The following is a 27,061-nucleotide window of genomic DNA, read 5'->3' on the forward strand; positions in this document are numbered from 1 at the left end:
TCCTGAGTAGCTGGGAATACAGGCGTGTGCCACCACGCCCGGCTAATTTTTATATTTTTCGGAGGGGCAGGATTTCACCATGTTGGCTAGGCTGGTCTCAAACTCCTGACCTCAAGTGATCCAACCGCCTCAGCCTCCCAAAGTGCTAGGATTACAGACGTGAGCCACCAAGCCTAGCCCTGACTTCCCCTTCTAAGGACACTTGTGATTGTATTTAGGGTCCACCCTGCTAATCTGAGATAATCTTCCCATAGCCAGATCCATAATTTAGCTATGTCTGCAAAGTCTCTTTTGCCATATAAGGTAACATTCACAGATCCCTGACTTTTATAGTTCTGTTCTTTTGTCCTCATTTTCTCATTCTGTGAGTGTGTGTGTGTGTATCCTCAACAGTTTCCTCCAGACCTGGTGTACTAGCAAGTTGTGTGGGTTCTTCCTCAAAATACCACCCATGGGGTATTTCTTTTTCTTCTCTCTCTCTGCTCCTCTCTACACTGGTTGATGCCCTTATTCAGATAAACATTCAAATGGTCAGCTAAGGGTTCTCCCTGTCTCTAAGCTCTCCTCCCAACTTACCTTACAACCATTGTTCCATTAATTGTTCTATGTGACCCTTGTTTAAAAACTTCTAGAGAATAAATTCTGAACTCCTTAGCATGACACTTCAAGGTTCTCTGGAGTTCAAGACCTATATCAACTTCATTTATTTATTCAGCAGGTGCTCATTAGGATTTCTCATGTGTTAAGACTGTGCCAGGCACTGAGAGTATGATAGTGGGTAAAAGTAGGCATGTCCACCCTTGGGGATTTTGCTGTCTAATAGGAAAGACAGATATGAATAAAATAATAATTATGAAGAAATGTGAAATTGCAACTACAATAAAACAGCAGCTCAGACTTATGTAATGCCTGCCATCCATCTAGCATCATCCTAAGAATTTTACATATACTGTCTCTTGTAATCTTCACAGCTTGTTCATAACTGCTACTTCCTACTTTATGGATGAGATAACAGGTGCAGAAAGTTTAAGTGATTCAAATTCACACAGCTGGAAAGGATTTAAGCCAGGTAGCTTGGTTCTGGATTTTGTGTATGGAACCACTGTCATATTTTGATAAAAGAGAAGTGCCTGGTGCTATGAGGATCGTTAATTGGGAGTGGGACCAGGGTAGAAAGAAGCACAGAGAGAAGCAAAACTGCTTCATGAATGATGTGTTGAGGAGGTACACAGCTTGATGGTAGGCCGGGTCTGTTGGGAACTGTTGAGGTTATATATTGGGAACTGTTGAGGTTATATATATATATATATAGAGAGAGAGAGAGAGAGACAGACAGACAGACAGAGACAGAGAGACAGAGACAGAGTGGGGATGGGGAATTGGAAAAGCTTCCTAAGGAAGGGACAGCTAAACTGAAGTTGGAAATATACCTTGGCATTAATTGGACAGGAAGAAAGGAAAAGTGTTCCATCCAGAGGGAAGATCATGTGTCAAGGCCGTATGGAGGCAAGGAGCAGAGTGCTTAGGGGGTCTGAAATGGGACCAGGTGGAGCCGAGAGAGCAAAGGCAGAGGGAGGAGCAAGGTATAGGATGGCTGCAGTGGGATTAGGCTGGGGAGGCAGGTAGGTGCCAAATCACCCAGGACCCTATAGGACATATTATAAACCATTTTCTTTATCCTAAATGCAATGGGAAACCATTGCCATTGAGTTTTTGTTTTGTTTCATTTTTCTGAGATAGGGTCTCACTCTGTCACCCAGGCTGGAGTGCAGTGGTATGATCATAGCTCACTGCAGCCTTGAACTCCTGAGCTCAAGCGATCTTCCTGCATCAGCCTTCCAAAGTGCTGGGATCACAGGGGTGAACCACCACACCCAGCCCCATTGAGGTTCTATTCAGGGGGTACGACAGAGATGTGTCAGAGGTTTCTGGATTGTGCCCTGAATTGATGTGGTCTCATTCTCTGGAACGGAACCCAGGAAAGAGAACATGTTCAGGAATAAGATCATGGACTCTGTTTTGGACCTGTTGACTTTGAGAAACACAAATGAGATGTGAAGGAAATTTTCAAATATTTGGATCCAGAGTTCATAGAAGATGTCTGGGCTGGGCCTTTAAGTCCAGCCCTTGTGTCACTGACTTTTGGCAATTGAAAGATGAACCTTTTGAAGGACTTCTATGGTGCTAAGGAGAATTTTAAATTCTACTTGTGAGACTGCATTAATCTTTTGTTGTAGATTTGAATGTGGGGTGAAAATCAGTCAGAGTGGGAAGAATTAATTTTAGAGTCCTTCCCCACTTTCTACTTTTACAACAGAATACCTTTGGATAATCATTTATCCTTCAATAATAGGAACTAGTTTTTGGAAATTGTGGTTTGAGTCTGCTATAAGGAAACCGGCAAGACAAAAAACAAATAACCAAAAAGCTGTGTGAGAAGGCTTCTTAAGACTGCAATGTAACCTCAGTGTTCAAGGCAAAAGGGAGTGTATTTGTTAGCTATTGCTGTATAACAAATTACCCCAAAACTTAGGGGCTTGAAACAACAATAAAAATGTATTGTCCTCACAGTTTCTGTGCATCCAGGAATCTGTGAGCAGTTTAGCTGAGTGGCTTGAGCTCAGGAGGTAAGAGGTCCCAGGCAAGATGTCAGTGAGTTCTTCAGTCATTGGAAAGCTTGACTGAGGTTGTAGGATCCACTTCTGAGGTTAAAGGTCATTCACATGACTGCAAGCTAGTGTTAGCTGTTGGCAGGAATCCTTGGTTTCTTGCCACAAGAGCTTCTCTCAGAGCTACTTGAGTGTTCTTACCCTATGACTAGAAAGCTCCCCCTAGACAACCTAACAGTGAGAGGGCCAGATGGAAGCCATCCTTTTTATGAGCGAGTCTTAAAAGTCACACGGTGTGGTGAATGCTTCATTCCAAGCAAGTCACTATGTTTGGCCCACCTCAAGGGTGAAGGAGGGAACTCGGCTCCACCTTCTGAAGGGAAGAGTGTCGAAGATTTTGTGGGCGTATTTTAGAACACCACATGGGTGTTTGAAATCTGAGCTGTGGATAGGGCCTCCCCTCTCACCCTGTGTAGGAATTAATTTCGGGTACAGCATCCCTGACAGATGGTCATTCAGCCCTCTGCTTGCCACTTCCAACTACGAGGAGTTCACTACACTGTGAGTCAGTGAATTCCACTTATATCCAGTGTTAATTGTTAGAAGCTTTTTCTGTTCATGAAATTGAAAGCTCTATTGTGGATATTCCATTATTAAAGCTAGTTCTGCTACTCTAGAATGGCACTTTTACATGATGGCTTTTCCAATATTTGCAACTGTGGTAATCTTAACTTTTCTCTTCTCCAGATGAAATTTTGTCTGTTCCATTCAGAGCTTCCTCTCGTGTTTTAATTCCAGGCTTCTTCCACATTCTGGTCACCTCCTTGTGAAAACATTCTGATTCAGTTTATCCTTCCAGAACTGAAAACACACTACTAATTCTGTAGCCCGCGCTAAGTATAAAGGGACACAGCAAGGGTTTCCTCACTTTGCGTAATAGTGGAGGACTGAAAAATGACTGTGAAACCTGAAATAATGCAAAGTGATCCTAGTGGGAAAAATGATGATCATTCTGAGACCTTTATAAACTGCTTTTTTTTTTTTTTTTTTTTTTTTGAGATGGAGTCTTGCACTGTTGCCTGGGCTGGAGTGCAGTGGCACGATTGTTGCTCACTGCAACCTCCACCTCCCGGGTTCACTTCATTCTTCTGCCTCAGCCTCCCAAGTAGCTGGGATTACAGGCACATACCACCGCATGGCTAACTTTTTGTATTTTTAGTAGAGATGGGGTTTCACTATGTTGGCCAGACTGGTCTCAAACTCCTGACCTTGTGATCCACCCGCCTCGGCCTCCCAAAGTGCTGGGATTACAGGCGTGAGCCACCGTGCCTGGACAAAACATCTGTTTTTAAAACTTTAAAACTTGTTAAAATTAAAAATTTTATTTCAAATTTAAATGCAAAAATTAGTAAAACTAGTGTTCATTTAGTATTCATTAGTATTCTGTAATTAAAATATTACATATTACATTAAAGATATAGAGAATTTAAAATACAGAGGATTAAAATACTTTTGCAAAAGAAAAAAAAACAAAAACATCAATAGTAGATTGAACAGTGCTTGCCAACTCCTTCTTCTTGTATAACTAATAATACAGAGTGAGTATTTTTGCTTCGGCAAATTGTCATCCTGCTTTTAAAATTTGTATCAGCTTTCAACATTATATCCTTTGAGCTTTCAGTATTATAAAACATCTCTGAGAGTTCCTTTAATGTGAAGTTGTTTTTGCTGGTATCATTTCCTTGGAGATACCTTTAATCACTATCCACATTTATGTTGACAAGTTCATCTTTGCTAAGTTCCTCTGGCTGTAGACTTTAGAGTCTCTGACAGTGGCAGTGACCACATTGCTATGGTTAGCTGTATAATTACATTTAGGTCCGATTCCCACCTCGCTACTCTGTTGTCACTTTTCACTTCTTTGCTGTACTTTCATGTTTCTTGACCAATTCACTCTCTTCATTATCCATTCTTATAAAATGCCACATGGGTTTACTGCTGGGAAGCAAGGAAGCAACACAGCTACATGCTTTGATGTCAATGTGTGACCTGAATAATAGATGCACAGTGACTAGCCACACATACTTTGGAATAAGGAGTGTGGTTGGTTACTGATCATGATGCACGTCTGTTATGTATGTAATGATTTGTGGACTACAGAACTAGAAACTAAGTTTGCACTTTATTCAATTACTCACAGTTAATATACCATGGTAATTGATATTTGAACCATGTTGTTAGGGGACTGGTATTATTTAACTAAATCATGGTATTGGAAATTTATGTACATCAGATTCATGCAAAGCAAAGTCTGCCTGTAGGCTTACGAATTGGTCTGGAGTTGGAATCGATATTTTTTTTTTTTTTTTTTTTTGAGATGGAGTTTCACTCTTGTTGCCCAGGCTGGAGTGCAATGGTGCAATCTCGGCTCACTGCAACCTCCACCTCCCGGGTTCAAGCAATTCTCCTGCCCTAGCCTCCCGAGTAGCTGGGATTACAGGCATGTATCACCACGCCTAGCTAATTTTTGTATTTTTAGTAGAGGCAGGGTTTCACCATGTTGGTCAGGCTGGTCTCGAACTCCTGACCTCAGGTGTTCTGCCCGCCTTGGCCTCCCAAAGTGCTGGGATTACAGGCGTGAGCCACCGTACCCAGCCTGGAATCGATTTTTATGGGCGACTGTTCTGTGCTGCTTATTTTAAGCTCCTGGTCCTCGCTGTAATCAAGTCTCATATGTCTTTACCTATGCATTTGAATTGTGTAAAATGTAAGTGTAGGATTTTACATACATTCCATTTAGCTTGTGGCTGTATTTTTGACATTTTAAAAATTTTCTGATACATAATATTTGTACATATATATGGGGTCTCTGCCTTTTTAAAGCTGGATTGTGCTATCTAGTAAACAAACTGTCTTCTCCAAATTGTTATCCTTTTCACAGTAAGCCATTAGCAAGAACATGGCTGGGGCCGAGCTCAATGATATGTTTCCAGAGTTCTCTAAGAGCTCTCCAGCCATACTTCCCTCATCCTATTAATCAACCTTTTAAGTAGGAATATATAGCAGCTATGAATTTCTCCAACTCTGCTGTCATCCAGCCTGACGTTTTCGAGCTTGTCCAACAAAGTTATCTGTCTGGTGCCATCAGATGCCTTTCTGAAATCAAAGCATATTGTATCAGTAGTGGTGTCCTGAAATGCCACTCTGGTTACCCTACCAAAAATTAACACTATGGGTAATACCTTATGTTTACAGAGAACTTTTACAGTTCACTGGAGTGTTTGGCATATCTCTATTTTAAAATATTTTGTCTATATAGAGTTGAAGGGAGATATGGCAGATATCATTACTTTATTTTCAAAAATGGTAAATCAGAGAGGTTAAGGGATTGGCTCTTGTTCACAGAGCTAGTAAATAGCAGAATCTTGATCCTTCAGTAAATCCAGTGTGTTTGACCATTTCAAACTATCTCAGATGAAGTGACTACAGGCAAGAAAAAGGGAGTTTCTGCAGTGTTTTCCTGTCGATTTATTAGGACAGATCAGTCTTATGACCCTCCTCCTATAGGGTCTGTGCTGGTTTCCCAGGGCTGCTGTAATGAAGTACCACAAACAGGGAGGCTTAAACAACAGTAATTTATTGTCTTAGAATTTTGAAGTCCAAGATCAAGGAATCAGCAGAGTTGGTTTCTTCTGAGGACTTTGAGAGAAGGATCTGTTCCAGGCCTGTCTTCTTTGCTCATAGATGGTTGTCTTCCCTCTATGTCTCTTCAACTCATTTTCTTTCTATATGTGTTCCTGTGTCCAAAAGGACACCAGTCATACTGAATTAGGGCCTATCCTAATGATTTCATTTTAACTTGATTACCTCTGTAAAGATGTTATCTCTAAATAAGGTCACATTCTGAATTACTGGCGGGGGGGGTTAGGACTGTAACATATTAAATTGGGGTGGGAGGGGAGGTTCAACTCATACCAGGTCTTCAAGGCAGATTTCAAGTTTTTTTAAAAATGGCCATCCGGGCGCGGTGGCTCACACCTGTAATCCCAGCACTTTGGGAGGCCAAGAGGAGCGGATCATGAGGTCAGGAGTTTGAGACCAGCCTGGTCAACATGGTGAAACCCCATCTCTACTAAAAATACAAAAATTTTCCAGGCATGGTGGTGGGTGCCTGTAATCCCAGCCACTGAGGAGGCTGAGGCAAGAGAATCGCTTGAACCCGGGAGGCAGAGGTTGCAGTGAGACAAGACTACGCCACTGCACTCCAGCCTGGGCAACAGAGCAAGAGTCCCTCTCAAAAAAAATAAAAATAACAAAGGCCCAAAGGAATAGGCTTGTGTAGGGAGTACTTTTGTGTGTGCCTGCATTTTTAAATCAATGTCTGTGTATCTGATACAGTCTATTGAGATCAACTTTATGGTCAATTGATACTGCCTTTCAGTTTTTCAAAAGAGAGAGAGAGTGAGTGCTTTTCCTAAATTAATTCTTAGTTGTCTACTTGCTGAATGTAGTCTCTGAAGATGTCTTTTGTGAGGCAGCTGCTGAAATTATTTGCTTGTTTGATGATTTCAGGATTCAAATGTGTCATTTAACTTTAGAGCTGAGATTTATGGTGAATTTCACTCCGAGCTTGGTGTTAATTTTACACACATCTAAGCAGTTTCCTTCTTCCACAAGTTGGTTAAGCATCAGAGGATTCTGAATTTAGGAAAAAAAAATAAATTAGGCAGTAACAATTTGCATCCCAAAGTGATTCACAAGTTTTCAAGTATATTCAAGGGTTGTTTAGCATATTACCGACTACTTATCAAAACACGGGACTGATTATGACCTTGTTTTAGATTGCTGGTGTTGAGGTGCTACAAATGTGAGATCTGTATTATTGTGTTTCCTCATTGCCTTCGCTTCTTCTGTGGTTTTTTCCTTTTGGTCACTTTGGGTGTTCCACAGATTACCAATGTGTGCATTTCACATGAAATAGATTTTGATTTTTTAAAAATAGCATTTATTGTGAGTAGAAAATTTGGTTTCACTCATACATTTTTCTGGTGATCTTTGTGCATTTTACTTATTTTTTTGAAGTGATTCTTCTTTTTAATTAACTCATTGGGTAAAGAAAGTACAGTTCTAATGTCTATGTAAGGTGTAATGAATAAGGATGTGATGAACTGTGGTTATCTTTGAAGCTCTATGTGTTCTCAATATCCGTTCCCTTCCCTTATCACCATTATACTAAATTTTATGCTTATCATGTCCTTACTTTTACTTATACTTTCACAATTTTTTTTGTGTGTGTCACTTGTTGCTTAGGCTGGAGTGCAGTGGCGCGATCTTGGCTCACTGAAACCTCCACCTCCTGGGTTCAAGCAATTCTCTGCCTCAGCCTCCGGAGTAACTGGGATTACAAGCGCCCGCCACCATGCCCAGCTAAGTTTTGTATTTTTAGTAGAGACGGGGTTTCACCATCTTGGCCAGGCTTGTCTTGAACTTCTGACCTCAGGTGATCCACCCGCCTTGGCCTCCCAAAGTGCTGGGATTACAGGCGTGAGCCACCGCGCCTGGCCTCACTATCTTTTTTCACTTTCTTTTTTTTCTTTTAGTCAGAGTCTTGCTCTGTCACCTGGGATGGAGCACAGTGGCGTGATGGTAGCTCACTGCAACCTTGAACTCCCGGGCTCAAGCAATCCTCACATTTCAGCCTCCCAAAGTGTGGGATTACAGGTGTAAGCCACTGCACCCAGCCTATACTTTCACTTTTTATATTTGCGTTTCCAAATAATATACTGTTTAGTTTTTCAGTTAAAATTTTTTATTTTTAATTCATTAAAAAATGATTCAAAAAGTTACAAGAATATACAAAATAATGCTGCTATAGACTTCACCCGGATTCTCAGTGCTAATATTTTACAAAATTTGCTTCATTATTCTCTACTCTCTCTACATATATAGGTAGACACACACATGCACGCACACACACACATTTTTCTGGACTGAGAGTAAGTTATAGACATGCTGTTGGAGTCTAAATACTTTATTTTTTTTCCCTAAAAAATAAGGACACTGCCTTACATAATCATGAATTATTATCTGGGTCAGGAAATTAACATAGGTATAATTCTACCACATGATCTGTAGACCCATTCAAACTTTGCCCACTGGCCCAATAATGCCCTTGGTGGCTATTTCCCCTCCTCTTATTCAGAATCCACTCCAGAACCACAGGCTCCATTTATGTATCACATTCCTTTAGTTGCCTTTCATCTGTAATGGGTCTTTAGTGTTTCTTTGTCTTTCATGCTCTGGATAATTTTCAAGAATATAGAAGAGTTTCTCCTTTTTTCAAACTGTCCCTTAATTTGGGTTTGTCTGATGTTTCCTCATGATTAGATTCAGGTCGTGCATTTTTGGCAGGGACATCGGAGAAATGATGCTGTGCTCTCAGTACATCATATCAGGAGGCACAGGATGTGGAATTGTCCCGTTATTGGTGATGTTAACTTTGGTCACTCGGCTGAGGTGGTGTGGGCCAGCTTTCTGCACTTCTCTTTGTAAAATAAACTTTGTGGGGAGATACTTTGATAATTATATAAATATCCTGTTTCTCAACAAATTTTCACCCACTAGTTTTAGTGTTCATTGATGATTTTTGCATGAATCATTTTTTTATGATGATGGATGCCAAATGCTCATTTTCTAATTGTGTAATTTCTTCCACATATATTAGTTGGTATTCCACTGGAAGAAAGAACTCTCCATTCTCACTCATGTACTCATTCATTTACTTATCATTGTGGACTCATGGATTCCCATATTATTCTTTGGATTTTAATTTGTTAGTATTTTTATTTATTTTGATGCTCAAATTGGCCCAGATTTACCTAGTGGGAGTTTGTTTAGAGTGGCTTCTTTGTCCTTTTGACTACTTTCTGACTATATTCTAGCACTTCCTTACTTTTGGCACAAAATTATGTTCTAGATTCATCTTGTATTTTCCTTACCAGAGCCCTGGAATGAGCCCTGGAGTCACTTGGTTCTGTTTTGTGGAGAATGGTATTTAGAAACCAAGATCTGAGAACTAGGGGTGCTGATTGCATCTGGGTTTCATTGTCTCTAGGCCTCTCAGCAGATAAAGCTAGTATGTGTGTGCATGTAATGTATATGTATGTATGTAAATATATGTAAATATATATTACTCCTATATGTAATCAATCTCCTGACCCTGGGGACTGTCTCCTCGGCTACAGCCTTGCCCATTCCACCTGCCTCCTTGACACTGCACTTCTCCAACCCCAGTTCCCCTGACCCTATTAGCATTCTCAGCCTTGACTGCTCCCTTAGCCCCAACTACCTCTGCATTCCTGGATCCACCAGGCCCACCTGCTGGGGCTATATGAATGGAAGGAAAAGGAAAGGAAAGGCACAAAGAAATAGTTTATAAAGAAAAAAAGAAAAGGAAAAGGCTGTTTGGTTTTTAAAATATTACATGAAAAAATACATAACGTAGTGTCTAATGGCCGTTAGCCTGTAGGCAACTGGGGTTCAAATTCAGGATTTATTACCTGCCAGATGCGTAATTTTGGGCAAGGTACTTAACATCTCTGTGCCTCAATTTTATCCTCTGCAAAATGGGGCTAGTAATAGTGCCTCATAGGGTTCTTGTGAGGTTTAAACAAGTTAACACATGTAAAGTATGTAGGATGGTGTTTGGCACATAGGAAATATATTTTAATCTCTTTATTATTATCAGACATCCCATCATTTTAGAATATGTTGCTTTATATTTCTAATAAAAATGTGTTAAATACCAATGATTTATTAGTGGTGTCTTCTACAGAGATCAGAAGAGTTATTAAAGTTACCGTTTTTCCTTCCATGAGTATTATTTTCTTTATTCAGATTTGACTGTCTATACCTTATACCACTTTGCAACATAAGCATTACATTAAATTACTATTACAAATCTTGAATCTTTGCACTTATCTTTTAAAAATTTAATTTTTAGAGAAGTTTTAGGTTCACAGCAAAGTTGAGAGAAAGGTTCAGAGCTTTCCCATGTATCCCCTGCCGGGACACATGCACAGCCCCCTCATTATCAATATCCCCCACCAGAATGCTACATTTGCAACAACTGATAAACCTACATTGTCACATCATTATCAACCAAAGTCCACAGTTTATACTAGGGCTCACTCTTGGATTTGTACATTATGTGGTTTTGGACACTTGTATAATGATGTATTGACCATTATAGTATCATAGAGAGTGTTTTCACTGTCCTAAAATTCTTCTGCTCTGCCTATTCATCCTTCCCCCTCCAACCCTTGACAACTACTGATTTTTTATTGTCTCCATAGTTTGCCTTTTCCAGAATGTCATATAGTTGGGATCATATAATATGAAGCTCTTTCAGATTTGTGTCTTTCACTTAGTAATATGCATGTAAGATTCTCTATGTATTTTCGTGGCTTAATAGCTCATTTATTTTTATTACTGAATAATATTCCGTTTTCTGGATGTACCGCAGTTTATTTATCCATTCTTCTACTGAAGGACATCTTGGTTGCTTCCTAAAGGTACATCCTTCATCTATCAAGGAGTGTTTGTTTTCTACTACAGAATGATACTTGTAAGCCACCAGAGTCTGTACTCTGATCAAATACCAAGGGCATTTGATCAGTCCCTGACGTTAAAGAAAAATGTTAAATGTTATTTCCATTTGGAAGCTAATCATAAATAAATATAAAGTTTCAGAGAAATGCTAGTGAAAGCCACTGGGATGGTTTTCAAGTTATATAATTTTAATTTACATGCATCTTTTTAGGAGTTCATATCAGAGCTTGGCAACTATAGGCCACAGGCCAAATCCAGCTCCCTGACTGAGTTATATGGCCTGTGAGCTAAGTATGGTTTTAAAATGATTGAAAAAAAGTGAAGAAGAAGAGGAAGAAGAAGAAGATTTTATAACAAATGAAAATTACATAAAATGCAAGTTTCAGTTCCTGTAAATAAACTTATATTGGAATATAGCCATAGCCATTTGCTACTATATTGTCTATGGTTGATTTTGCAATTCAGCGACAGATTTAAGTAGTTCAATAGACACAATATGGCCCGCAAAGCCTAAAATATTTACTGTCTCACCCTTTAGGGAAACTGTGCTGATCCTTGGTTTATACTATTACAGAAGCAATCATAAAGTTTTGGAAGAATCTCGGAAGACATGTCTAGTTTAGGAGATATGGCTTCCCCTGCACCTTAGGCATTTAAAATAACCTGGCCTGTTTCTTTCTGAAATGAGAATATTGGATCTGAAGATCTAAGTCCCTCATGCCTCATGCTATTCTTTGATGCCTTTGTAACATTATTCGCCCCATTGTACTAGTCCGACGGGGTTTTTTCCCCCACTTTGGTTTTTATTTTAAGGCAATCTCACTTCATCTCTCTTTTCCATTAATCTGTTTGACATGAACTGAGCTAATACGGCAATTTTTGTCTCTGTTCAAAAACTTCAAGAAATTTTGAGACCTCATATTTTTATCTGGTTTTATTTCCCCTCACAGTGACGTAAGAGTGGATTTTGTATAATAGATTGAAATATGTTCTTTTATTTTGTTGGATGGCTGAGCTATTTCACAGTGGCTCAAAGAGCAGTTTACTTTGTTCCATAGCAACAAGCCTCTTGCCCAAATTTGCCATCTGGTGTTTGAAGCCTGTATCTTGCAGCAGTTTTTTTCATTAGCTGACAGCCATTACTCATCTGCTTTTGGCTTTAGTATTCCCGACATTCTCATTATTGCTCATCCTAAATAGTCCCAGTTTCAAGTAAGAAAGCACTTGGAGTTGTTTGCTTAGCAGAAGGGAATCAATTTCATCTGGAAAACAAGGGGCCAGTTGAGAAGATACCTGCCAGCTGGGACCATGACTTTATTATTTGTGAAACTTGGTTTTTAATGACTTGTGTATATGCTTAACAGCCCACCTAGAGTGTGGCCTGTGAAGGGGAAGACCAATTGGCCATGGTGGGTACCCACTAGATGGTGAATGAGTGAACGGGTTTCCTGCATAAATCCAGGAAACCTTGGGATGAAAAAGCAGTAGCCCCATGAAGAAAGCATCAATCATACTTTGTAATTTTGCCACATTTGCTTTCCAAATTTTTTTTAGAGATTACCTGAAAATAAATCTCAGGGCTGATCCCTGGCTACCTCTGATCTGATCTTCTATCAGTCTTTCTTGTAGTCCTTGTACTGTATCCCCACTAGCCTCTCTGGTGTTTCAGAACCTGCCAAGCACACTCCCATTTTGGGGTCCTTGCTAGATATTCCCTCTGCCTGGAATGCTCTTCCCCAAATGTCTAAGTGGTTCACTCTCTCCTTTTATGCAAGTCTCTGCTTAAACCTCATTCTTCAGAGAAACCATCACACTCCACATTTTAGTCTATTTACCTCTCTTTATTTTCACCATAACCCTCACTATGAAGTATATCTTCATCAATTTATTGTTCCCAGTCTCTGGAATAATCCTGAGCATACAGGAAGCACTCAGGAAGTACTTTCTGAGTGAAAACATGAACAAAAGCAAGACAAAAATCTATTAAATACTTGATTTGTGAATTAAGGTTTTCCCCAACCCAACACTTCCGTGTTATTTACAGAATACTCCTGTCTATTTCACATCTTGTAGCTTTTTGCCTCTTTGCTGCTCCTGTTGTTACCCCTTCCATCCCTTTTCCCACAACCCTGGATACTTACCAAGTACCAAGTCCTACCAACCACTGTCCAAGTTCTGCCTTTTCTTTGAAATCTTCGCTGATCACACTTATTATCTCTCCATTGGAACCCACAGGGCCATTGCACTTCCTCATCCTCCCTTCTCATGTCTAATTCATTTTCTACCTCTGCCTGTCTTAACTCCTAAACCTTAAGCTCTATGAGTAGAGACTATGCATATATATTCCTATTTTTCATACTTTGCATTTTCATATACACTTAATGCATATTTTTAGTACATTGGCTAGAATAAGACATTTATTATTAACAACTTTGTATCTAAAAAGGAGTAAAGATGAAAGTGGAGTCACTCTCAACTTCTTTCCTAAAGAGATAAGCACTGTCATTATTTAGACACCTGCTATGGTTTGAATGTTTGTCCTCTCAGAAACTCATGTTGAAACTCAATTGCCATTGTAATACTATTAAGAGGTGGGGCCTTTCAGAAGTGATTAGGCCGTGAGGACAGAGCTCTCATAAATGGATTAATCTTGTTACCATAGTAGTGGTTATCTTGACAGTGAGTTGTTATAAAATGACTCTGGCCTCGAGTGCTTCCCTCTTTCACATGCTCTTGCCTGCCCTTCCACCTTTCTGCTGTATGATGACTCTGGCTAGATGCTGGTGCCATGCTCTTGGAATTCCTAGCCTCCAAAACGGTGAGCCAAACCCATTTTGCTCTTTATACATTACCAATCTGTGGTATTCTGTTGTAGCAGGAGAAAATGTACTAAGACAGAAAATTGGTACCAACACCAGGGTTGTTGGAATAATAGATACCTGAAAATATGCAAGTGGCTTTGGAACTGGGCAATGAGTAAAGGCTGGAAGAATTTGGAGAAGCAGGCTAGAAAAAGCCTAGATTGCTGTAAATGGAGCATTGAAAGTGATTCTGGTGAAGGCTCAGAAGAAGAGAAGACTGGGGAAAGTTTTGAACTTCTTAAAGATTACCTAAGTGGTCATGACCAGAATGTTGATAGAAATATGGACAGTAAAGGCTGTTCTGATGAGATCTCAGATGGAACTGAGAAACAAGGTATTGGAAACTGGGGCAAAGGCCATCCTTGTTATAAAGTAGCAAAGAACTTGGCTGAAATGTGTCTATAACTGAGGGCTTTGTGAAAGGTGGAATTTAAAAGTGATGAAATAGGATATCTAGCTGAAGACATATTTAAGCAGCAAAGCATTCAGGCTGATGCATGGTTACTTTTAACCGCTTATAGTAAGATGCTAGAGGAAAGGAATGATTTAAAGATGGAATTTATAATGAAAAAGGAAGCTATGTGAAAAGATTTGGAAAATTTGCAGCCTGGCCATGTAAACAACAAAAAAGCATTCTAGTGTGGAACCAAGAGACCATTTACTGACGAGATTAACACAGACAGAAGAGAGCCACCATCAATACAATGGGAGATAGACCCTGAAAGCATTTCAGAGATCTTTGAGGCTGCCCTGCTCATCACAGGCCCAGAGTTCTAAGAGGGCAGAATAGTTTGAGGGGTTGGGCTAGGAGCAACCTACACAGGCTCCCTGCCCAGACCGACCTCACATCTCTGCTTCCTGCATTCCAGCAGAGAGCTCTTTCACTGCTCCCACCATGGCTCAAGCAGGTCCATGTGTGGCTCAGGCCACAACTTCAGAAGATGCAAGTGGCAAATCTTGGTTGCATCCATGTGGTGTTAAGTTTGCAGGCATGCAGAATGCAAGATCTATGGGGGCATGGCTTCATCCACCTAGATTTCAAAGTATGTTGCAAATAGCCTGGAGCCCCAGGCAGAGACTTGTCACAGAAGCAGAGCCACTGCAGAGAGCCCCAACTATGGCAATACTGCACAAAAATGTGGGGTTGGGGTTAGTGCCAGAGCTGCCACAGAGAGTCCTCACTGGGGTAATGCCTAGTGGAGCCCTGGGAGCAGGACTGGCACTGAGACTCCAGGATCGTGGAGCTACTAGCATGCAACCTCAGCCTGGGAGAGCAGCAGGCAGGAGACTCCAACCTATGAAGCATGGGCTGGGTCTAGGAAAGCCATAGGAGTGGGGCTGCCGAAGACCTGTGTGCCCAGGATGCAGAAAATGGAGTCAAAGATTATTCTCTAAATTGAGGGCTTAAAGTGTTTTTTCCCATTGGGTTTTGGACTTAATTGGAGTCTGTTACTCTTCTCTTTTTGCCTATTTTTCCCTTTTGGTCCAGGACTGTCAATCCTATGCTTGCCCCACCATTGTATTCTGGAAGTAGATAACTTATTTGATTTCACAGGCTCACAGCTGTAGGAATATGCCTATGGATGAATCCTGTCTGGTGTCTCACCCACATCTGATACAGAGGAGACTCTAGACTTTTTTTTTTTTTTTTTTTTTTTTTTTTTTGGAGACAGGGTTTCACTTTGTCACACAGGCTGGAACTACAGTGGTGTGATGACAGCTTACTGCAGCCTTGACCTCCCAGGCTTAAGTGATCCTCCCACCTTAGCCTCCTGAATAGCTGGGGTTACAGGCATGCATCCCCATACCTGGCTAATTTTTTTGATTTTTTTAGTAGAGATGGGGTCTTGCTATGCTACTGGTCTCAAACTCCTGGGCGCAATTGATCCTCCCACCTCAGCCTCCCAAAGTGCTGGGATTACAGGCGTAAGCCACCACGCCTGACCTGAGACTCTGGACTTTTGAATTGATGCTGGAACAACCACTTAAGACTTTTGGGACTACTGGAATGAGATGAATCTATTTTAGGCCAAATACAGTGGCTCATGCCTGTAATTCTAGCACTTTGGGAAGCCAAGGCAGGAAGATCAGTTGAGCTCAGGAGTTCGATACCAGCCTGGGCAACGTGGTGAAACCCCTTCTCTACCAAAAATACAAAAGTTAGCCAGGCGTGGTGGCACATACCTGTGGTCCCAGCTACTCTGGAGACTTAGATGGGAGGATCATTTGAGCCTGGGAGGTGGAAGTTGCACTGAGCCAAAATCATGCCCACTGCACTCCAGCCTGGGTGACAGAGTAAGACCCCATCTGAAAACAAAACAAAAAAAAGAAATGAATATGTTTTGTACTTGAAAAGGACATGAGTTTTGTAGGACCAGGGCAGAATGCTATGGTTTGAATGTTTGTTTTCTCTGAAACTCATGTTAATATTTAATTGCCATTGTAACAGTATTAAGAGGTAGGGCCTTTAAAAAGTGACTGGGTCATAGGGATGAAGCTCTAATCAGTGGATTAATGCCATTATGAAGGGAGTGGGTTAGTTATTGTGAGAGTAGGTTGTTAATGTTTTCTTTCCTTTTCTTGTTTTTTTGTTTGTTTGTTTTTGTTTTGTTTGAGACAAAGTCTCTGCTGTGTTGTGCAGGCTGGAGTGCAGTGGCATGATCTTGGCTCACTGCAACCTCCGCCTCCCAGGTCAAGCAATTCTCCTGCCTCAGCCTCCCAAGTAGCTGGGACTACAGGCACCTGCCACCACGCCTGGCTAATTTTTGTATTTTTAGTAGAGATGGGGTTTCACCATGTTGGCCAGGCTGGTCTCGAATTCCTGACCTCAAGCAATCTGCTCGCCTTGGCCTCCCAAAGTGCTGGGATTACAGGCATGAGCCACTTCACCCCGCCATGTTTTCTTTTCTCTAGCTTACTTTAGTGAAGAATACAGTATATAATACATATAATATAGAAAATATGTGTTAGTTAACTTTATGTTGATTATGTCGATTATGTTATTGGTAAGTCTTTGGCCAACAGTAGGCTATTAGTAGTTAAGTTTCTGGGAAGTCAAAAGTTATCGCTCATTTTAGACTACGGTGCTCCTAACCCCTGCATTATTCAAGGGGCAACTGTAATCCCCTTTTCTTCTTGAATTACTAATTCTATTCTACTTCCCTCACAGACTTTTTACTAATGCAATATATTTTTATACTTGAAAGCCTTCTGTTGATCAACCATTGTAGTAAAATATCTGTACATAGATTTAAGCATTTACAGTGGCCCGGGAATATAAGAAAATTAAAAAAAAAAATTGTATTACACGTTTTGAAAGTAATTTGTTAAGTGTAAAAAGTTTTTTTCATCCAGTTTGATAATATATCTATGAATGATTGTTAGTTGTTGGTAGAATAAAATAAGGGGCAGCATCAATTTTTTCTTATTTTCCATTTTTATAGATGTGAGTTTTAGGAATAATTTTAACATAAATCGAGTAGATGCGAATGGAAAAAGTTTCATTGTAGCAATATCATTCAATTCTTTGAACTTGTTATGTGATAAATTTACATATTAATCAATCAAAAATATCTTTAATGATCTGTCAATTGATAAGCAATGAGGACTTCTATCATTTTATTGACAGTTAAAGACCACAATGCTAGAGAAATATCGTAGGGTGCCAGGCAGAAGCCTTGGTAGGGGCACATTTGAGCTTGGTGACTATGGCTATTCCATCTACTGTGCTGCGTGCCTTGTTCCAGTACTGCATGGCTACTCAGGTGCAGCCCAGAAAAAGGGAAAGTGGGACTCAGTTATTTTTACCAGCTGTATGTTAAGTAAAAGACAATGGAAATATGAAATAATAGATAGTGAAATCTAACCTCGACAAGGAAAATGGAGGAAGAAGATGGCTGGTGGACTGGGCAAAAGTACAGGGAGAAAGTAAAGGGAAGGCTCTTTTTTTTTTTTTTTTGAGACGGAGTCTTGCTCTTTTGCCCAGGCCAGACTGCAGTGGTGCTATCTTGGCTCACTGCAAGCTCCGCCTCCCGGGTTCACGCCATTCTCCTGCCTCAGCCTCTGGAGTAGCTTGATTCTTTTCGCTTTTGTTGCCCAGGCTGGAGTGCAATGGCGCAATCTCGGCTCACTGCAACCTCCACCTCCTGGGTTCAAGTGATTCTTTTGCCTCAGCCTCCCAGATAGCTGGGATTACAGGTGTCCACCACCACACCCAGCTGATTTTTTGTATTTTTTAGTAGAGATGGGGTTTCACCATGTTGACCAGGCTGGCCTTGAACTCCTAACCTCAGGTGATCCACCCACCTCGGCCTCCCAAAGTGCTGGGATGACAGGCATGAGCCACCATGCCTAGCCATGTTTCTTTCCTCTTGCTGCTTTTAGGATTCTTTCTTTATCCTTGATCTTTGAGAGTTTGATTACTAAATGCCTTGAGGTACTCTTCTTTCGATTAAGTGTGCTTGGTATTCTGTTACCTTCTTGTACTTGGATATTGGTATCTTTCTCTAGGTTTGGAATGTTCTTTATTATCCCTTTGAATAAACTTTCCATCCCTATCTCTTTTCCTACCTCCTCTTTAGAAGCAAATCTATGAGTTATTGAATTTGTGGGTTTTTAGATCCTATAGGCTTGCTTCATTGTTTTTTATTCTTTTTATTTTTGTCTCCTCTGACTGTGTATTTTCAAATAGCCTTTTTTTTTTTTTTTTTTTTTTTTTTTTGAGAACGAGTCTCACTCTGTTGCCCAGGCTGGAGTGCAGTGTCGCGATCTCGGCTCACTGCAACTTCTGCCTCCCGGGTTCAAACAACTCTCTGCTCAGCCTCCTGAGTAGCTGGGATTACAGGTGCCCACCACCACGCCCAGCTAATTTTTGTAGTTTTAGTAGAGACGGGTTTTCACCAAGTTGGCCAGGCTGGTCTTGAACTCCTGACCTCGTGATTCACCTGCCTCGGCCTCCCAAAGTGCTGGGATTACAGGCATGAGCCACTGTGCCTGGCCTCAAATAGCCTATTTTCAAGCTCACAAATTTTTTCTTCTGCTTGATCAATTCTACTATTAAAACACTCTGGGCCGGGCACATTGCCTCACACCTGTAATCCCAGCACTTTGGGAAGCCAAGGCAGGCAGATCACTAGGTCAGGAGATCGAGACCATCCTGGCCAACATTGTGAAACCCCGTCTCTACTAAAAATACAAAAATTAGCTGGGTGTGGTGGTGCAGGCTTGTTATCTCAGCTACTCAGGAGGCTGAGGCACAGGAATCACTTGAACCCACGAGGTGGAGGTTGCAGTGAGCCGAGATGGTGCCACTGCACTGTAGCCTGGTGACAGAGTGAGACTCCTTCTCAAAACAACAACAACAACAACAACAACAAACAACAGTCTGATGCATTCTTCATTATGCCAATTGTATTTTTCAGCTTCAGGATTTTTCCTTGATTCTTTTTAATTATTTCAATCTCTGTTAAATTTGTCTGATAGAATTCTGAATTATTTCTCTGTGTTATCTTGAGTTTCTTTGAGTTTCCTCAAAACAAGTATTTTAAAGTCTCTTTCTGAAAGATTACATATCTTTCTCTCTCCTGGATTAATCCCTGGTACTTTATTTAGTTCATTTGGTTAGGTCATTTTTTTTTTCCTGGAATGTCTTGATACTTGTAGATGTTTGTGCCTGGGCATTGAAGAGTTAGGTATTTATTATACTTGTCACTATCTGGGCTTGTTTGTACCTGTCTTTCTTGGGAAGGCTTTCCAGGTATTTGAAAGGACTTTGGTGTTGTGATCTAAGCTATATCTGCTTTAGGGGGCACCCCAAGCCCAGTAATAGTGTGGTTCTTGCAGACTCGTAAAGGTAGTGCCTTGATGGTCCTGAACAAGATCTGGAAGAATTCTCTGGTTTACCAGGCAAAAAGACTCTTGTTCTCTTCCCTTACTATCTCCCAAACAGTCTCTCTCTCTGTTCTTAACCACCTGAAGCTCGGGGTAGAGTGACACAAGCACCCTTGTGGCCACAATCACCCTTATGGCCACAATCACTATGACTGTGCTGGGTCAGACTTGAAGCCAGCACAGCACTGGGTGTTGTCCACAGCTTTCTGTAATCACTCCCTGGCTACTGTCTATGTTCACTCAAGGCCCTGGGGCTCTACAATCAGCAGGTGGTGAAGCCAGCCAGGCTTGTATCCTTCCCTTCAGGATAGTAAGTCACCGCAGTTCCCTGGCAGTTCTAGAGGTGCCGTCAGGGAGCTAGCGATTAGAGTCGAAAGACTTAGAAAGCCACCTGGTGTTCTATTGTACTGTGGCTGGGCTGAACTCAAACCACAAGATACAGTCCTTCCCACTCTTCCTTCCCCTTTTTGAAGGTGGAGGAGCCTTACCTTGTGTCCACTGCCACCACAGGTCCCCTGGAAGTCCTGCCAGACTACTGCCTATGTTCCCTTAAAGCCCAAGGATTCTTAGTCAACTTGTGAATTCTGCCTGGCCTGGGATAAACTCTTCAGAGCAGTGGGCTTCCCTTTGGCCCAGGGCAGATCCATAAATGCTGTGTAAGAGCCAAGTTCTGGAACTGGGGACTCCAGGAGCCTGCTTGATGTTTTATTCTTCTGTGGCCGAACTGGTACCTAAAGTGTAAGACAAAGTACCGTTTACCCTCTGCTTTCCTCAAGCAGAAGGAGTCTTGCCCCATAGCCACCACAGCTTGGGTGAATGTGCTGAGTTTCACCCAAGGCCCTCAACATAGTACCTGGTATTGCTGCTGGTTATTCAGGGCCCAAGGGCTCTTCAGTTAGCAGGTGACGAATCCTACCAGGACTGAGTCTTTTCCTTCAAGGCATCAGGTTCCCTTTTGGCCCAAAATATGTCTAGAAATGCTGTCAAGGAGCTAGGGCCTGGAAAGACAGTCTCACACCCCTGACAGGTGCCCTATCCTGCTGTGGCTGACCCGGTATCCAAGATGCAAGAAAAAGTCCTCCCCACCCTTCCCTCTCCTCTCCTCGAGTGGAAGGAAGGAGTCTCTTTTGGAGCCATGAGCTGTGTGGCCTGGAGTTAGGGGAGGGGTGATGCCAGCACTCCTGCAGCCACCCCAATTTGTGTCTCAGGAGGTTGTGTTCCCCCCCTTCCCGGCCCAGTCTATTGTCTCTGGGCCCAGTTCAGCACTAGGACTCACACAAAAGTTGTAGTCCTTGGGACCTAGACTGGCTTTTAAGTTTATTAGGGCCTCTGGGCACTTTAGCCCACTGTAGTCTGTGGCTAGGCTTGTGGAAACTCAAGTCCCAACTGCTGGGATCAGCAATTCCCCTCTGGCCAAGGCTGGTTTGAATGTTCCCTCTGTGGGCAGACATCAGCTAAGTTTGGTCCAGTTTTCTTTCTGCTATAACAGAACAGCACTGAGTTCGGTGGCTCATAATTGCTATGCTCTCCTTCCACCAGTGCCCAGAAATGCTCTCCACACCACATCACCACGCCCTGGGGGGTAGGGAAGGGGTAGCATATGCAATTCAAGACTGGTTTTTGTATCTCTTCAGTGCCTCTTTCAGCAAGATAAAGTTAAAACCAAGTACCATGACTGCTCACCTGATTTGTAGTTCTTATGAAGGTGCTTTTTAATATAGTTGTCAAATTGGTGTCCTTGCAGGGGGTGATTGGTGAAGCCTTCTATTCTGCCATCTTGCTCCGCCTCTCCAATTAGCCATTTTTAATACCTTGTATCTTCAATTGAGAATTTTTGAAGTCTCAGATTGATATTATGGCAGAAAAGGAGGAATCACACACAGCTTGTCTTTGGATGACCAAAAGCAAACACCTGTCTTTTTTTTTTTTTTTTTTGCCTCTAAACTCAATTCCATTTGGTATCAAATACCTTTTAACTCAGCTATAGTCTCTTTTAAGAATATTTACATATTTAATAAAAAACAAATGACTGTGACTCACTAATATGTGTTTCTTTTCTTTTCTTTCTTTCTTTTAAAGATAGTGTTTTTAGAAGAAGCATCTCAACAGGAAAAACTGGCCAAAGAATGGTGCTTCAAGCCGTGTGAAATAAGAGAACTGAGCCACCAGTAAGTTGTTACTTCTTCCCTTTTACTGGGTGCCACTAATAAGCTTAAATTATAGAAAACCTGCCTTGAGAGACAGAGAGACTTTAAAAAATAATATTAATTTAACAATAATTATTTTGTATTAATTATTTGTTAAGGGAGGAGATGGGAAGGAGAAGGTATACAGGAAGCTGAAGGATGGAAACTTAGAGAGCTAGAGGCTGCCATCATTCATCAATTTCTTTAGCATATATTTGTTGAGCATGCTATGTGCAGTACTGGAGGGTCTGGAGGTGAAAAAGATCTTCAAAGTCCTTGTCCTCACAGGGTTTACAGTCCATGGAGGACAAAGACAGTAAACAAGCAAACAGATACCTGCGCATGACCATAGTAGATTGTGATAGCTTCTATAAGGAAGGAAACAAGGTGGGGAGGGGTATGATAGAGGTTAACTATTAAGAAGTAGGGAGGAAAGAAAATTTGAGAATCAATTGGTTGGGGAAGTTCAGAAGCACACTTGAGCTGTGATATTATATTTCATCTACTTTTAGTGGTTTTTAATATTCGTTATATTTCATATATAATATATATTTAATATATGTTATACAGTTCTTAAAGAAATGATTGGGCCAGCCAGGCATGGTGTCTCATACCTGTAATCCTAGCACTTTGGGAGGCCGAGGCGGGTGGATCACCTGAGATCAGGAGTTCAAGACCAGCCTGGCCAACGTGGTGAAACCCCGTCTCTACTAAAAATACAAAAATTAGCCTGGCATGGTGGCGCATATGATGCCTGTAATCCCAGCTACCTGGGTGGCTGAGGCAGGAGAATCTCTTGAAGCCCGGGGGGCAGAGGTTGCAGTGAGCCAAGATCATGCCACTTCACTCTAGCCTGGGTGAAAGAGCAAGACTCTGTTAAAAAAAAAAAAAAAAAGCTCAGTTTCCTCATAGCCTGGTTGATATGCTTTATGGAAATGGGAAAACTTTTTTTGATTATAATTTTTATTTTATTTTTTGTTTATTTTACTTTAAGTTCTGGGATACATGTGCAGAACGTGCAGGTTTGTTACACAGGTATACATGTGCCATGGTGGTTTGCTGCACCTATCAACCCGTCATCTAGGTTTTAAGCCCCACATGCATTAGATATTTGTCCTAATGCTCTCCCTCCCCTTGCCCCCCACCCCCCAACAGACCCCGGTGTGTGATGTTCCCTTCCCTGTGTCCATTTGTTATTATTGTTCAACTCCCACTTACGAATGAGAACATGCGGTGTTTGGTTTTCTGTTCCTGTGTTAGTTTGCTGAAAGTCATGGCTTCTGGCATCATCTATGTCCCTGCAAAGGACATGAATGGGAAGACTTTTTTAAAGCTAAAATATTTTATCTTGTTTCAGGCCAAGTAAGTTCCAAGGCCAATAAAATTGGTACCATTTATATTCTGAAAACACTTTGATAACTTGGGAATTGACTTTCACGTAATATAGAGAAACACTGTTTCACGTAATAGAGGAACATTGAACTAGGAATGAAAATACCTGGTTTGAATCCACAGACTGTACTGTAGCTTTGCAGATGTTAAAAGTCAAGCAAGCCACTTTCCCTCTTTGAGGTCATCTAGACTATGAAGCTCATCCCTGGTCATAGTCCAGAGAGACAGAGTGACTATTTATAATGTTTCACTCCACCTGCAGTTTTACTCACATCCCTTGCCTCCTTCCCTCTCCCTGCTGCCTCTCTATGGGCTTGGAAGTGTGTGGGCGCTGGGCATGGAAATGAATATAGTAGCTTCTGCTGTTACCATCTACTTCCTCTTGCTAGATTTTCATGTAAGAATCTATGATGAGGAGCAACTGACATTTATAGTCTCCTGCTTGCGTGTCTTTGTGATGCAGGATTAGAAGAAGGCTTGGAAGCAGTTGAAGTAGAGGCTGAGATGGGATGAGAGAATGGTGGAAACGGTTGGAGGATGGAGAGGAGGGTAAACATAACTGTGGGTCTTCACTTCCTTTTCTTCCTCTTTATGAGGTTGCTTTTGAAATTAAATCCATCAGAAATGCAGATTCTGGGGGTCGTATGTAAGTACTGCACACAAGGAAGTAGTAAGGTAAGAAATAATTTAAATTTTAGTAGAAGACTGAAGTCTTTGAAGAAAGATTATATTTAAAATGCAGAGATTCTTATATCAAGCACACAAGTTATGTGCGGTTGAATTTAAGTCATGATTAAAATACCATAAAGGGATGTCTCAGACAGTTTTTAATAGACTTGGCCCAATACACAGTGTATCTACAGGTCTATCTCAGTACTGTCTGGATTTTTAGAAAAGGGAAATCACAACTGGAGTACCATGGGCAGTGCTGTGGTAGGAGTGAATCAGATGGTGGCCATGGACCCTGGACAGGTTTGCAGGGCCAGGATTAGGGTGAGGGGAGTGAGGCATTCACCTCAGGCACAAAATTTAAAAGCAGCGGGGGAGGGGCAAAAACTCAGTAATCAAGATAAATACTTTTAAGACAATATTTTAAAATATAAAAAGTAATGCATGGCTGGGCGCGGTGGCTCACCCTGTAATCCCAGCACTTTGGGAGGCCGAGGCAGGCGGATCACTTGAGGTCAGGAGTTCAAGACCAGCCTGGCCAACATGGTGAAACCTGTCTCTACTAAAAATACAAAAATTAGCCAGGTGTGGGCCGGGTGCGGTGGCTCACACCTGTAATCCCAGCACTTTGGGAGGCCGAGGCAGGCGCATCACGAGGTCAGGAGATCGAGACTGTCCTGGCTAACACGGTGAAACCCCATCTCTACTAAAAATACAAAACATTAGCCGGGCATGGTGGTGGGCCCCTGTAGTCCCAGCTACTCGGGAGGCTGATGCAGGAGAATGGCTTGAACCTGGGAGGCAGAGGTTGCAGTGAGCCGAGATCGCACCACTGCACTACAGCCTGAGTGAGACTCCATCTCAAAAAAAAAAAAAAAATTAATGCAAAAACTCATGATGAACAAAATACCAACATTTTAAATAAAGACAAGATGTTGTTTGTTTTACAGCCATGCATTTTTTTTGTGCAATGGAACAGTCACTTTCAAATAACATGGATTCTCAGGCCCATGATGCCATTGCATTACTGGTAGGGCAGGCTGATGATGGTGATGATGGTTTGGGTAATACACACATGTATTGATATATACCTGTATTGTTTTCTGATTATAAAACTTTATTAATGTGTTCCATTTGGTGAAAAGATAGGTGGATGTTCTGATAAGCATATATAGGGGGATATATATATATATAAAATTTTTTTTGCTCAGGTTATGATACAGCTTGGCCAACACTGCAGATTTGGAATACCTGGGGGAAGTTGAGATTCTCTGAGGAAATTATGATGCTGATTAAGTAAAGTGAGAAGAGGAAAGCTGAAAAGAAGGGAGAAAGGAGAGCTTTTTTACCTTCTGCTGCTGCCTTCAGATCTCTTCTCTGCTTTGCCTGCAGCTGGGCTTGTAGTAGCTACAATTTAGCCATAAGTGATGTTGTGAGTGGAGAACCGAGTTTGAATCCTAGCTGAGCCACCAACAAATTGCAAGTCAAAAATAAACTTGCAATCCCAGACCTTCCTTTTGTTCTCTCTATAAAATGAGCAGGTGGGCTCACTGACCTCTAATCTCATGTGCACTCTCACATTCCATGCTTCTGTGTGTACCAATATTATCTGTAATTAATCCTGGACTGTAACCTTGATTCTGGGAATCTTTTTATTAATAATCATTTCACGATGCTTACTATTTCCTTAAAAGGATTGTAACTTTTCTGGGTAAAAAAATCACACTTCAGATGCAATAAATCCTTGCGCTTCTGTTGCCTCTGAAGACTTTGTACTCTGAATCATCTTTCACTCTCTCATCTCAGCTACAATGAACATGCTCATTTCTCCTACATGAAAAACATAAAGTGACTTGAACTCTTCTTCATCCTAACTTTCACTACCAAATATTTTAAAAGGGCGCTCTCCATCTGCACAGGACTTTCTCAAACACTCTCTTTTTAGCACTTAGTGCAGTAACAAAAACATTCTAGAGACTCAGTGACTACTTTTTAAAGGAAGAGCTAAATCTTTCCAAAATTGGGGGTCTTAGGATTATTCCTGAGGCCATGCATTTTTGACCCTTGCAGTTTTTGGCACTAGTCACTGCCCTGCTCCTTCTTGAATGTCTCTTCTTTACTGTCCCTGACACCTCTCTGTCCTGGGTTCCCTCTACCCTCCTGACAATAACTCTGCCAAGATTGATCCTGATCTTTTCTTTCTCAGTCTTACTCCTGAAGTCGAAGGTGCTGCTTAAGATGTTGGTTTGTTCTTCCTTCCACAGAGAACTCTGGCATCGCCAACTTCTAGAGTTACCTATATAAGACCCTCAAATCTGAATCCTTTCTTTTTTTTTTTTTTTTTTTTTGAGATGGAGTCTCGCTCTGTCACCCAGGCTGGAGTGCAGTGGCATGATCTCTGCTCACCTCAAGCTCCGCCTCCCGTGTTCACGCCATTCTCCTGCCTCAGCCGCCCGAGTAGCTGGGACTACAGGCGCCTGCCACCACGCCTGGCTAATTTTTGTATTTTTAGTAGAGATGGGGTTTCACCGTGTTAGCCAGGATGGTCTCGATCTCCTGACCTCGTGATCTGCCCGCCTTGGCCTCCCAAAGTGCTGGGATTACAGGCGTGAGCCACCGTGCCCAGCCTCCTCTCCTTCTTTTCTTCTGCCTCTTCTCCCTTCTCCTTCTTCTTCCTTTTCTTGCTCTTCTTCTTCCCTCCTCCTCTTCCTCCTCCTCCTCTTTTTCTCCTTCTCCTCCTCCTTTCTCGTCCTTTTCCTCTTCTCCTCCTCTCCTTTTTCTTTCTCCTCATTTTTCTTCCTCCTCCTCTCTGTCTCCCTCATTCACCCGTAACCTCCTCAACTAG

General features: G+C 41.5%; 1 protein-coding gene across 37 annotated transcripts in view; it reads left to right on the forward strand.

The window, feature by feature from the left end:
- Positions 1-27,061, forward strand: part of GDA (guanine deaminase) — a 145,262-nt gene that overhangs the window by 58,844 nt on the left and 59,357 nt on the right. For 26 of the 37 annotated variants that reach the window (XR_001746423.3, XR_007061376.1, XR_007061377.1 and 23 more), the window contains one exon: positions 22,049-22,137. Coding sequence is in view for 24 of the 37 variants with exons in the window: in XM_047424099.1 (XP_047280055.1) it covers positions 22,049-22,137 (89 nt within the window). In the remaining 13 variants the exon portion in view is untranslated. Of the gene's footprint in view, positions 1-13,937; positions 14,038-22,048; positions 22,138-23,149; positions 23,191-24,010; positions 24,097-27,061 lie in introns of those variants that run through there. The other 11 variants (XM_047424109.1, XM_047424107.1, XM_011519219.2 and 8 more) reach the window with 5 other exon arrangements.

This window comes from Homo sapiens, chromosome 9 (assembly GCF_000001405.40).
Source record: "Homo sapiens chromosome 9, GRCh38.p14 Primary Assembly".
NCBI classification, from domain to species: domain Eukaryota; kingdom Metazoa; phylum Chordata; class Mammalia; order Primates; family Hominidae; genus Homo; species Homo sapiens.